The following is a 13941-nucleotide window of genomic DNA, read 5'->3' on the forward strand; positions in this document are numbered from 1 at the left end:
TTTCTTAAGTTTTCTCTCATATGAATTATATGTATATCTTGAGTATTGGGGAAATACATTATTTCTTCAAGTAGAACCGCTCTGGGTGCTTTCACATCTATTAATTCCTGGACTCTTACTACAATTCTGGCAGTAGTAATATTCCCATTTTACAAATAAGGAAAACTGAGTCCCACACCAATTTAAATAAAGTTACTCAAGCTCACCCAACTAGGACATGGCAGTCGGGATTTTAATGCAATAAAAATTCCTCTTTCTAGTCTTGTGAACTAACTTTATTTTAAATTTCAAAGCCTTTTAATAAAATTATGTTTGTAAAATGAAATGTAAAATGAAAATAGTACATAATTGTATGTCTATTCCTATTGAAATATATTTAATATAGAAAAGGTCATTGAATGTATGCAACAATCACAAATTATTAAAATGATTTTTCAGACCCTAACAATCTCTTAAAATCCTTATAGTTTCACCTGTTTTATTTACACACAAGAAAATGCTGCAATATAAGTGAAACTTTGTTTCAAAAAAGATTTAAGACAGCTTAAAAGTGAATGAAGGCAGCCAAGGGGAAGTTACTTGCCCAAAGCCATACAGATAGTCCAGTAACTCCTGGTCCAGGGGCCCTAATTACCCTAAATGTTGATGTTTTTCATCCTGAGTCTTGATTTTAACAGTTTGCCTAGTACTTTTAATGACAAAGTAAAAGTAAAATAAAACTGTCTTATGCATGCCAGCTATTATTATATTATCATTTACCATGTCTTGTGTAATATTAATAACTTAATATTCTACTACTTAATATTTCAAAAACTTAGAAACACTGACATTTCTACCCATCCTATACAATATTATTAGCATTTGGATTTTGGTACATAGTAGAGATCTAAGTTTTGGATGCCAACCCATGTTGGTCACTTCAGGGAATAGTTGTACATTTTTATTGTCAATTTTTATGTGTAAAGTACAAAATTAAATCTTTTATTAGGTCTGATATAAATGAAGTCTTTGACCCAAGTGAATGTTTACTTTTTTCAGTGCTGAATTCATAACTCTCAATGATTGCCTTCAGTTGGCATACCTGCCTTCAAAAAGGAATCACATGTTGTTGCTCTATCCTCGAGAGATTTTAATCCTTGACCTTGAGGTGAATCAGACGGTGGGTGTGATTGCAATAGAACGCACAGGAGTTCCATTTTTACAGGTATCTACAATTCATAAATTATATTCCCCAAAATTATTAAGAATGTTATATTAAAAGAAGGCCATAATCTTGCATAAGTCTTGTCTTCAGTTCTCCACTTTCTCTTTTCAATTTATCAAAAGACTAGCAACACTATTTTAGATTGTTTTTTTTGTCTGCACTTTTGATTGGTTTGATTTACCCTAGAAATTGTGACTGATCCTGAGATATTTATTGAACTATTTAAGTCACATGGGTAAAGACAAATTATTTTAGGATTATAAATGGATATTTTAAATGTACATTTAGTTTTAAAGTTTGGGATTTGTCTATTTTTTTTTCTTTTGCCCATATTATCTAAATATGAGTTTGAGTTTCACAGTATATACTTTATTAATCTATTGTGTTTTAAAAAATAAATATATCATCTATTTAAAGGTAATACCCTGCTTTCAGCGTGATGGTTTATTTTGTCTACATGAAAATGGTTGTATAACTTTACGTGTTCGAAGATCTTATAATAACATTTTTACCACTTCAAATGAGGAACCAGGTGAGTTTCTGTCTCACAATAATGTTATATTTTTCTTCAAAATTATTTTATAAAGCTTGATGTGGCAAATACCAGCCAAGGTATATAGTTAATGATACTCCTTGCTTTGAGGAAGTTTAAAATATGGTTATAATAAGAGGCATAAAAAGTATAAGCCCAAGATTAATCTCTTGATGTTAAAACAGTGCACCTCCTGTATACATCAAAGAGAGTAAAATTTTGTGTTTCTTGATCATATCCATGAGCCAAGTAGATATTATTTTTTGGAATTTTTTTTTTTTTTCAGTACAAGTCCAACCTTGTGTGCCTTTATTATTATACCCCCTTGACTTGTTGGCTGTAAGAACTTCCATTGTAAAGTGACAGAGGTTATTAAGTCTCAGTTGTCAAGTCAGTCTTATCTTGGAGAATGGAAATAATGTTTTTGTGAAATTATATACTGTGTAAAGATCAAAGTGATTTTCACATCTTTTGGAAAGTACAGTTATTTTCAGGCTTATAGACTACTACAAATTATGATGGAAATTTATTCATTAATTATATATCACTGTTGATCCTTTTTCAAAGTATCGTCTTTATTTTAAAATATTGAAAAAAGATATCTTGATTATAGTTGTTATTTTGGAAATTAAACTTAGTACAGTCATTAAGTAAATTATATTTGGAAAAAATTTAGTAGTAATTGTAAAAAGTGAAGCCATGCTTGACATTGCATTCATGAAGGAGTGATGCCCAAATTTAGTTGAGGTTTTATTTAAATTGAAACAAACAGTAGTGGTATCGATATGGCTGCTTTCTGATATTTAAAACAATTTTATGTGAAGATCCAGATCCAGTTCAGGAGCTTACCTATGATTTACGAAGCCAGTGTGATGCAATCAGGGTGACAAAAACCGTCCGTCCCTTCAGTATGGTGTGCTGTCCTGTCAATGAGAATGCAGCCGCCCTCGTAGTGAGTGATGGCAGGGTCATGATATGGGAACTCAAGTCTGCAGTTTGTAATCGAAATTCACGGAACAGGTAAATGAATCAACAGGATCATGGTTTTGTTTTTTGTTTCCTGTTTCCTTTTATAAAAAATTTCCATAATCATAAAAATAGGAGGGCTGGTTTTCTATAAAAATATTTTTAAGGTAATAATTAAGGCTTTAGATTATTAGGGAATTATGTAAATCTGCTAGAGCTATTTCACCTATGGGTAAGATGAATGAATAATATAAAAATAGATAGAATGCCATAATCTGGACTTAATACTTTGAATTCCTAATACGTAATGCAGATTTTAAGTATGTAAAACCTTCTAATTATTATGTCTTTGCAGTAGTTCTGGTGTGTCACCTTTATATTCACCAGTGTCTTTCTGTGGAATTCCTGTAGGAGTGCTACAGAATAAACTCCCAGACCTTTCCTTAGATAACATGATTGGTAAGCTTTTTTCCCCTCTAACTCCATGTTAAGTATTCTTTCTGAAGGGCAAAATTAATAGAATCACTCACTTGTAATTATTTTAAAGTCAAAAAAGTTAATACTTGAGAAAACTAGAACATGGAATCATTCTTTCCTAAATAAATCAGAGGGGTTTAAAATACTTAGGTAGAAAAGTGCCTGAAGTAGCACGGGTTTGCATTATAGTTGTTAGAAATAGAAAACGTTCATTCGTGAGAGACTGATGTAAATGAAAGCAATGACATTAGGCATCTGGATTTTGGACCTAGAGCCGATGCTGAGCTATGCCATGCCAACTCAGGGCCTTGCTGTTTGCTGGTTCCTCAGCTTGGAATGAAGTACATGCTTCCTTTCTGTCTGCTACTCCTAATTCAAAATTCAACTCAGATGTTGTTTTCTTTAATCTCCCAAGTCTAATTTAAATGCTCTTCTTTTGTTTTTCCTAACAGTTATCAGCATATTTTAATTGTGGGTTTTTTTCTTCTGTTTCATCTCATCAATTGTAAGCATCACAAGGGTGGTACAGTGTTTGATTCTATTTTGTCTTTCCCAGCACTCAGCACAGTACCTTGTGCATGCCTGTTTTGTAGTAAATATTTACTGAAGGAATAAAGTAACTGAGCAGTATTAGAAAAGATTATTTTAACTTTTTGACATGAATTATTTTTATGTTGGGGATTCTTTCAAAAAATCATTTTTGGAGATAAAGTGTTCAAAGTTATTTAATTATGAGGCCAGTATGTATTAAAGGAAGAATGAGAGTTTGTGATTTCAAATTTTATGCTACTTGAAATTATAAGGCTTTGTAAATATGCCAAGCAATTTGGACATCTAATTTTTTTACAGTTGTGGCTATGGTTTATAAAGGATTTTCTGTTTTATTATTTATTCTACCATAATATAATTGAAAACGATATTATTTAGGAGGGTTTTTTTGTTGTTGTTGAAACGCTAAATAAGTGATGCACTAGAAAGAGCATTGGCCAGGCGCAGTGACTCACGCCTGTAATCCCAACACTTTTGGAGGCCGAGGCGGGAGGATCACTTGAGGTCAGGAGTTCGAGACCAGCCTGGCCAACATAGTGAAACCCTGTCTCTACTAAAAATATAAGAATTAGCCAGGTGCAGTGGCATGTGCTTGTGGTCCCAGCTACTTAGGGGGCTGAGGCAGGAGAATCGCTTGAACCTGGGAGGCGGTGGAGGTTGCAGTGAGCCGAGATTGCACCACTGCACTCCAACCTGGGCAACAGAGCGAGACTCGATCTCAAAAACAAAAAAAAAGCATTACATTATTAATTACATTAATTAGATCACATTTATTGGGTACTTCATACTGTGTTAAGTGCTGTGCTAAATATTCTACATATTACCTTGGTACAGCTTTGCAATGTAAGTAATATTATCTCCATTTGATACATATGAGAACTGAGGCCCAGAGAGATTAAAACTTTAAACCACACAGTCACACAGTCACACAATGGAAGAGCCCAAGTGTGACCCGGGTAATCCTGGCTCCAGAGCCTGCTCCTTAGCAATGGCCTCCAGTCCTGACAGCTCCACTGTCATCTTGGGTAAGACCATCATTCATCTCTAGGCCTCAGTTTTTTCACGATTTCTGCCAGTTATGAAATCCTTTTGTTCAGTGATACTTACTATTATATCTAAAATTATTTCTCTCCACTATCTATTCTACCAGACATAAATCCATATGAGGAAGCCTGGACACATGTTTTGCAAAATTTATTTTATCAGTAACACAATTTTTTGAGTTAATTCACCTTGTCTACTCTTAATATGAAAACTTAAAGTGAAAAGAATTATAAACACACACAAGAACAGCACTAATCAGTTATATGGAGCCCATAGGAGTTTGAAATTTTATGCTGTTTAGGTATCTAAGTGATATAAATTACAGGTTTTTTTTTTTTTTTTTTTTTTGAGACGGAGTCTTGCTCTGTCGCCCAGGCTGGAATGCAGTGGCGCGATCTCGGCTCACTGCAAGCTCCGCCTCCCGGGTTCACGCCATTCTCCTGCCTCAGCCTCCCGCGTAGCTGGGACTACAGGCGCCCGCCACCACGCCCGGCTAATTTTTTTGTGTTTTTTTAGTAGAGACGGGGTTTCACTGTGTTAGCCAGGATGGTCTCGATCTCCTGACCTCGTGATCCGCCCGCCTCGGCCTCCCAAAGTGCTGGGATTACAGGCGTGAGCCACCGCGCCCGGCCAAATTACAGTTTTTAAGAGACAAATGGATACGGATTGTATAGCAGTTCTTGACAATGTAGTTGATTTTAAAGTGTTAAATAAAGCTTCGTACTTGAAAACATTTTAATTTAAACTTTTAATTAAACTTTTAATTTGAAATTCACTGTGTTCTTAGTGAAAATTCAAAGCAATTCAGGTAAATAAAGAGGCTGATTTATATTCACTGGATAAATGCTGATACTTATTAAGGCCTAATTTGCCCTACATTGTGAATTGCCTCTTATGAAAAATACTTGAAGAAAAATGTGGCATTCCCTGGATGTCAACTCAAAGCCAACATATGTATGTGTGGCACTTACATGTTAAGCTTCCCATTCCTTCATATTTCATCTTTTTTATTTTATTTTATTTTTTTTGAGATGGAGTCTCGCTCTGTCACCAGGCTGGAGTGCGGTGGCGCAATCTCGGCTCATTGCAACCTCCACCTCCCGAGTTCAAGCGATTCTCCTGCCTCAGCCCCATGAGTAGCTGGGATTACAGGTGTGCGCCACCACACCCAGCTAATTTTTGTATTTTTAGTAGAGACAGGGTTTCACCATGTTGACCAGGATGGTCTCAATCTTCTGACCTCGTGATCCGGTTGCCTCGGCCTCCCAAAGTTCTGGGATTACAGGCGTGAGCCACCACACTCGGCCTCCATCTTTTTTTAACCAAAGTTATGTAGAGAGATTGATATTGAGTATGTGGCTAATCCTAAGGGATCATTTTAATAGGATTAAAATGCTATTTTTTCTATATATTTTGTGGATTTTAAAATAACATTATTAAAACAACTTTACAGCTTCAAAAGGTTGTATTTATCACCCACTCTTAGTAATTATTTATACTTTTCCTTTCACACTATATACATGTTTGTGTTTATGTGTGTGTAGACATGTATGTATATACTCATGCATATTCTTTCTATTTTTGGCAAGTTAATCCCAATATTCTGTAGTGGTTTATAGGAAGGAAATTTGTATACCTTTTTAATGAACAGTCTTGATTTCATTGTACTGTTTAGATTTAGCTTTTGTTAGAATGATTTTTATTGGAGTCATCTTTTTAGTTTGAGACTTGCTAACCTAAGTACGAATGGTATATGTGAAAATAATGCCATTGAAGTCTTAACTATTGACAGTGATGGTGTATATATTATACACGTGATTTATGAATATATATATTTGTATTTGTTTTATATTTACTTATAAAACATTTTGTAATTACACTGACACATTAAGGTTTCTTATTAGAAATTATGAATAAGTTATTTAAATCTGTTTTTCATGAATACCAATTTTGTATGTACTTTACAGAGTACATCAGATTGAAAAGTAACCCTTTCAAAAGGCAGTAAAATGAGAAAAATGTGGTACAGTAGTTCACTCTGCAGAAACTGTTCTCTAATGCAAGTTCTCTTGCTTTGTTCTGAAGCCTGTGTAGTGCTTTAATACCAGGAACATTGACTGAAACAGTGTTTCTTAGAAGACATAGGTCCCTGCATTCTGGATAGCAGGACTCGGGAGTAATCTATCCTTTGAGGTGTTAGTTGATGCAATTTAAGTCCTATAGCCAGGTACAGAGTCATTGTGTCCTTAATAACTACAGCCACTAAAGTACTACATTAACTACATTATACTTTTAGACCTGAAGAGCATTTCTACTGAAAATTTTCTTTAGCTTTTTAAGATCAGCATACACTGTAGTTAATATATTTGTTATTTTTATTACAAATCAGGGCAAAGTGCAATTGCTGGGGAAGAACATCCCAGAGGTTCAATTCTGCGGGAAGTGCACCTCAAGTTCCTGCTGACGGGACTGCTTTCAGGACTGCCCGCACCACAGTTTGCTATTCGTATGTGTCCACCGTTGACCACAAAAAACATCAAGATGTATCAGCCACTGCTGGCTGTTGGTGAGTATTTGACCTGGTCTTTTTTTTTTTAACTCACTTTATAAGATGTTTAGGTTTTCTAGTTTCTAGAAGATCCTTTATTCTTTTTGAGGATGCTTTAAAAGGAGATAGAGACTAAGTGAAACTGTAAATACTCATCCTGGAACTTAAAAAAAAAAAAATTTCTGTCCTTTTATTCCAACTGTCTTATATTGAATTGGAATGCTGAGTCTTCATCCACCTGAGACTGGACAGTCGAGTCTCTGACGCTGTCCATTCATCTCGGAAATACCAGGAGGCTCATCCCTGCAGTGCTGAATCCCAGGCTCCTTGTCTGTAATTGGACCACCCCAGTCTTTATGTCATGTCAGTTTTCGTTGGGTCTTTATTGACTAAAAATATAGTCAGGGTTAATAGCTTAATAATAGCAGGGTTCTTCTTTTGCCAAGAGTTATATATTAAATATTATTTAAAGTGGCTATGGTCCCTATAAATTAAGATTTGCCTTTTGGTGTGAAATTGTGTATTTGTATGTTATAGGTAGAAAAATTTATCTGGGTTCCAACTTGCTGTCACATTGATTTCATAGTAATGTGATGAACCTAATTTTCTTTACAGCATAGAGAAAAAAACAAAATTTAGTTTGCTATTAAGTACACATTATTAAAATACATTTCTCCAAAACTTCTGAAAAACAGTGTATTTGTTTGAAACTCAACATTTCTTCTTAAGATGCTATCGGCTGGCTTCTGGCTTTCTCCCCCAGTCTATTAACATGTGATTTGTGGTGAAAACCTCACCATATTTATTCTGTGGCCAACATGGCTGACTTCTCAGTGTTAAAGACTCATTTGGGTATTACTGTTTGGTAGTACCCTTCTGTTTTTTTCTGTGCCTATCTTTTGAAAGCGATTTGATTTTTATGATTCAATTGTCTATATATGTGTCCCGATTTATATAATGCAGATAAATGTTTAATTTTTGCTTTAGAAACTGTTGATTAATATTTCACCACTAATAGATTTTAATTAGGATTCATCAGTGTGCTTCATATGTGCATGTATGTATTATGTCAGTGTTCCTGATTTGTCAGTTAGGATTTTGTCAATTTCTTGGGGAAAACTACTTCTTGGGATAGCTATGTAATAAGAGCTATGGCAAGGTCTGAGCTTTCCATTGTAGAATAAGCTGTATTGGTATGTAGTGAATATCATTTACTGAATTTAGTATAACAAAGTAAAAATATAAGTACCTAAAAGTTTGTCTAGAGGTGTCACTAAGAAAGATAAATAAGAGTTCAGCTATGGAATTAATTCTCCTTGTGGTGCCCCTAGTGCATTAGATCATAGGTTCAGCATTGTTAAAACTTTCAGATTGCAGAAATCATTGGATTATTATGAAGTTCTGTTAATTGAAAAATTTTAGTAATTTAGTTATTTTCTCAGTGCCAAAAGGTATTATTATGAAATAGATGATAAATGTAAACAACTGTACAATGTGTTTTTCTAGAATAGTTTTGCAAAAGATTTCTGGAGTTTTATTCAGCAAATAAGATAATATTGGAATTTGCCCAGCATTTTTACTTCCACTCTGTTGCTTTGCATGAATTCATTAATCTTTAAATCATGTGCAGTGCAAAAGTGATTGTCCATATAGACTGTTCACTTTTCTTGCTTAACTTATAAAAACACTATAGAGACTGAAGCTTTACTTTCTCATGTATGTCCGTGTCCTTTACATTTAAACTTTAGACATACTACCTGAGACCATGAAAAGCTTTAGAATAATACCTGTAAACTATTAATTATAGTGATGACAGAATACTAATAGTTAACCAAGTGCTTACTTTGTGCCAATTACTGTGCTTAGTGCTTTATGTTTCCCCATTTAATCTCCAACAACTAGATTTTCTACTCTTCCCATTTTAAAGAGATGAAAACACAGATTTAGTGTGGGCAAGTAATTCATCCAAGAGTATAAGGAAGAGCCAGGGCTTAAGCCCAGGTTTCTTTAATTGCAGAAACCACAGTTAACCATTATACTTTACTCTCTTGTCAGGATTTATTTAATAAAAGAGACAAAACAAAAAGAAAACTTTGGAAAGAAAAATGGATAACCCTGGTTAGTGAGCTCTGCTAGATTGCTTATTTGAGGACCAGCTATAATAAACCTTCTGAGTCTCAAAAAGTATAAATTCCCATGTGTATAAAAGCTTAGGAAAGTGTTTCTTCAAATTGTATGTGTATTAATGTAAGTTTTAAGGTCTTTCTGTGAAAAATCTATTCCTGGAATTAGGCAAGGCTTTTGAGCACGTGAGGTTAGGCCCATTTTTTTTATAAGGAAGTGGACCAGAGAAATTCATTCTTCTTTGTGTGTTTGTTTAAACACATAGTTTGGGTTTCTTTTATAAAAGATAAATGTGTTAAGTGATTAAAGTCTTGAGAAAAGACTTTTCTTGCAAAGTGCTGGAACTCCCACTGAATTAATGCTCTTCCATGATGTCATTTTGAAAGGTACAAGTAATGGTTCTGTCCTGGTGTACCATCTCACCAGTGGTCTGCTACACAAAGAGTTAAGCATCCACTCATGTGAAGTCAAGTAAGTATGTCATTGTGATGATGACATCACAAACATCATATCAGAAAAAAAATTCTCATAGACTTTTCTACATTGAGTACTCTGTAATATCTGCAGTGGTGATTATTTGAAAAGTTTGAATAATATTCATGTCCAACTAATGGCTATGTTAATCAAGGATGATAACTAATTCTTTGCTGTGTAAAGAACATAAGCAGTAGAGAATGTTTTCTCTTTTATTAGGTTGGTGCAAAAGTAATTGCGGTTTTTGCAGTTTTTTTTTTTTTTTTGTTGTTGTTGTTGTTGTTTGTTTTGTTTTGTTTTGTTTTTTTTAAATGGCAAAAAACACAGCTATTTTTGTACCAACTAATATTGTTGCACCTCATTTATTTCTCCTAAGGGCCAGGCTGTTTTCTCACTGGATATCCTTACGTTGCCTTGTTCAGGTTTATTTTATTTATTTATTTTGCTCAAAATTATTATTTTTTATTATTTTAAAATTTTTTTTACTTTAAGTTCCTGGATACATGTGCAGAATGCGTGCATTTGTTACATAGTTATACATGTGCCTTGGTGGTTTGCTGCACCTGTCAACCCATCACCTAGGTTTTAAGCTCCACATGCATTAGCTATTTGTCCTGATGCTCTCCCTCCCCTCACATGCCCCCGCCAACAGGCCCTAGTGTGTGTTGTTCCCCTCCCTGTGTCCATGTGTTCTCATTGTTCAACTCCCACTTATGAGTGAGAACATACAGTGTTTGGTTTTTCTGTTCCTGTGTTAGTTTGCTGAGGATGATGGCTTCCAGCTCCATCCATATCCCTGCAAAGGACATGATCTCCCTTTTTATGACTGCATAGTATTCCATGGTGTGTATGTACCACATTTCCTCTTTCTTTTTTTTTCTTTAATTTTACTTTAAGTTCTGGGATACATGTGCAGAATGTGCAGGTTTGTTACATAGATATACATGTGCCTTGGTGGTTTGCTGCACCTGTCAACCCGTCATCTAGGTTTTAAGCCCCACATGCATTAGGTATTTCTCCTAATGCTCTCCCTCCCCTTGCCCCTCAATCCCCGATAGGCCCCAGTGTGTGATGTTCCTCTCGCTGTGTCTATGTGTTCTCATCGTTCAACTCCCACTTATGAGTGAGAACATGCAGTGTTTGGTTTTCTGTTCCTCTGTTAGTCTGCTGAGAATGATGGCTTCCAGTTTCATCCATGTCCCTGCAAAGGACATGAACTCATTCTTTTTTATGGCTGCGTATTTTTCATTTCTATAACGATCCATCAGTAGGACTGCTTATGACAAATTCAAATAAAGTCATTTTAATTGTTAATTTGTCTTATTTATTCTTTGTTTAAACATCATCAGAACGCTGCATAGCATTTATTTGATTTTTAGGACATGATCTGCTTATGAGTTCTGTGTATGCAGAGCTGTCCGAGGGAAAGCTAAATTGACGGAAAAGTGCTTCTTGCTTTCTGTTCCAAAATGCCTACCTGTGCTGTCCATAGCATTATTTCGCTGAATGCAAGGCTATTTTCCTTTTGTGTCCTATCAGTGATAGATCGTAGAGTTACATATATAAAATATGAATTTCCACTTTTTTGTTTGTTTTTTGATACAGTCTTACTCTGTCACCCAGGCTAGAGTGCAATGGCGCGATCTCAGCTCACTACAATCTCCGCCTCCTGGTTTCAGGTGATTCTTATGCCTCAGCCTCTTGAGTAGCTAGGACTACAGGCACGTGCCACCATGCCCAGCTAAATTTTGTATTTTTAGTAGAGACGGGGTTTCACCATGTTGGCCAGGCTGATGTTGAACTCCTCACCTCAAGTGATCCATCCACCTCAGCCTCCCAAAGTGCTGGGATTACAGGCATGAGCCACCACCCCCAGCCAGTTTCCAGTTTTTTTTTATGATCTTTCAGTGAAAGCATAAGAAGTCATTTTCTGTTTTCTGTACATTAAATAATTGTAGGTCTTGTGTATAAAAATTCTCAGTGAACCCTTAGCAAACACATTATCCTGAGTACATGCATTTTCTTAATGGAGAAGGGTTAACCTTTTTTTTCTTTTTTTTTTTTTTTTTGAGTTGGAGTTTCGCTCTTGTTGCCCAGGCTAGAGTGGAATGGCGCTATCTTAGCTCACTGCAACCTCTGTCTCCCGGGTTCAAGCAATTCTCCTGCCTCATCCTCCCAAGTAGCTGGGATTACAGGTGTATGCCACCACGCCCAGCTAATTTTTGTATTTTTTAGTAGAGACAAGATTTCACCATGTTGGTCAGGCCGGTCTTGAATTCCTGACCTCAGATGATCTACCTGCCTCTGCCTCCCAAAGTGCTGGGATTACAGGCGTGAGCCACCGCGCCAGGCCAGGTTAACCTTTTAAGTATCACAGCTTCTGATTGTGATGGAAATCTCTGAAAAGTTTGCATTGTCTTACTGTTTCAAGTGCATTGTTGTGTGGTGCAGCCCAGGTGACTGTTTATTGCCACCTTACGCTGTTCCTATACAGCATCTCCCCAGATACATTTACGTGGAATAATAATGTCTTTAAAAGCTTTGGGCTTTTGAGGTGCAGTGACACAGGTATCTGTTTGGACTCTTTCAGGCTGTTATTCATCTCTTCTCTTCTGTTGCAGTGTCTGTAGCTTGCCATTCTGGCACTTCTAGTAGTCTCTGCTTACACTGCTGAATCTTCTCTCTCTCTCTTTCCCATCTCCTCTTCTCTCGACATTTCCTTTCACCCTGCCTTGTGTGTCTGGTGTTTCCTTTTATGGTCAGCACTAACCAATCGAAACTCTCCATTTAATCACTACTTATTCTAGGGATTATGTTAACTATTAATACTTCACACGTATCATTTCATTGAATCCCCACTACAATCGTATGGGGCAGGTATTGTATTTCCAGTCTACAGAGTAAGAAACTGAAAATTACAGAGTAATCTGTGAAGGAGCTAGATGGAATTCACTCTGGGCCTTTGAAGCCTCAGAACCTGAACTCTTCACTTATACTTACAGTGCATGTGCTGCATCTCCTGCTAAAATACGCACATAGGTTAGTAGGAATCATGTTGGCAGTAAAATTAAAATGTTGGCTGAGCCAAGATTTGTGCTAAGAATTTCACACATGCTTCTGAAAAATCAAACATGTTGTCTTTTCAAACACAGAAAGTTTTAATAGCTAATTAATCAGAGAGGTATTAATTTTAAGTAAGGTTTATTATCCTGGATTAGTCAGGTTATAGATGTCACTAAATACTTGACTTATACATGTTAAGATAATATTTATGGTTGAGTAACATTGAAATTGATTATAAGTGTTACTTGGGATACTAACTCTGAGGGATATACTACTTATCAGATAAATGTGAATGATCATACAAAGATACTCCATTTTTATATGAATTTTTCCTCTTCATTGCCATTTTGAAAATAATTTGTATTTTATATTCAGAGATACTGCCCAAGAGAACACTAAAATCCTGCTTTGTGTTTCAGTTAATGCAATTTTAGTATTATAATCAAAAGCCATTAAGAAAATTTCACAGAAATACAAAAATTAGCTGGGCGTGGTAGCATACACCTGTAGGCTCAGCCATTTGGGAGCCTGAGGTGGGAGGATCTCTTGAACCTGGGAGGCAGAGGTTGCAGTAAGTTGAGATTGTGTCACTGCACTCCAGCTTGGGTGACAGTGAGACCCTGTCTCAAAAAACACAAAACAAAACAAAACAAAACTTTCACGATGTATTATAAAAATGTCTGAATTTATTAGCAGTAAACTCAAAACATTTTAGATTTTCATGTCCAAATAAGGTTAACTTTTAGAAAGTTGTTTTTCTACCTTTTATTAAGTGTGTTTTTAAAAAATCATAATCTAAAGCACTTGAAGGTTGTATATACTGTGCCGGGGACTCATGACAGCAGATAGCACAAAGTGTGTGTGTTTTTAAAACCATGATGTTTTAACTTGTGATGCTTTATGAATATCTGTTGAATATCTTCTCTATGCTTATAAACAGAGAAAGCCTTTGAAGCTTAT

The 13941-nt window shown here is 35.6% G+C and overlaps 1 protein-coding gene across 6 annotated transcripts in view; it reads left to right on the top strand.

The window, feature by feature from the left end:
- WDR11 (WD repeat domain 11) overlaps positions 1-13941 on the top strand; it is a 58163-nt gene that overhangs the window by 12647 nt on the left and 31575 nt on the right. For all 6 annotated transcript variants that reach the window (XR_428707.4, XR_007061973.1, XM_005269963.3 and 3 more), the window contains 6 exons: positions 1039-1204; positions 1622-1736; positions 2561-2756; positions 3058-3161; positions 7162-7338; positions 9831-9915. Coding sequence is in view for 4 of the 6 variants with exons in the window: in NM_018117.12 (NP_060587.8) it covers positions 1039-1204; positions 1622-1736; positions 2561-2756; positions 3058-3161; positions 7162-7338; positions 9831-9915 (843 nt within the window). In the remaining 2 variants the exon portion in view is untranslated. The remainder of the gene's footprint in view (positions 1-1038; positions 1205-1621; positions 1737-2560; positions 2757-3057; positions 3162-7161; positions 7339-9830; positions 9916-13941) is intronic.

The sequence above is a fragment of the Homo sapiens genome, chromosome 10 (assembly GCF_000001405.40).
Source record: "Homo sapiens chromosome 10, GRCh38.p14 Primary Assembly".
Classification (NCBI taxonomy): domain Eukaryota; kingdom Metazoa; phylum Chordata; class Mammalia; order Primates; family Hominidae; genus Homo; species Homo sapiens.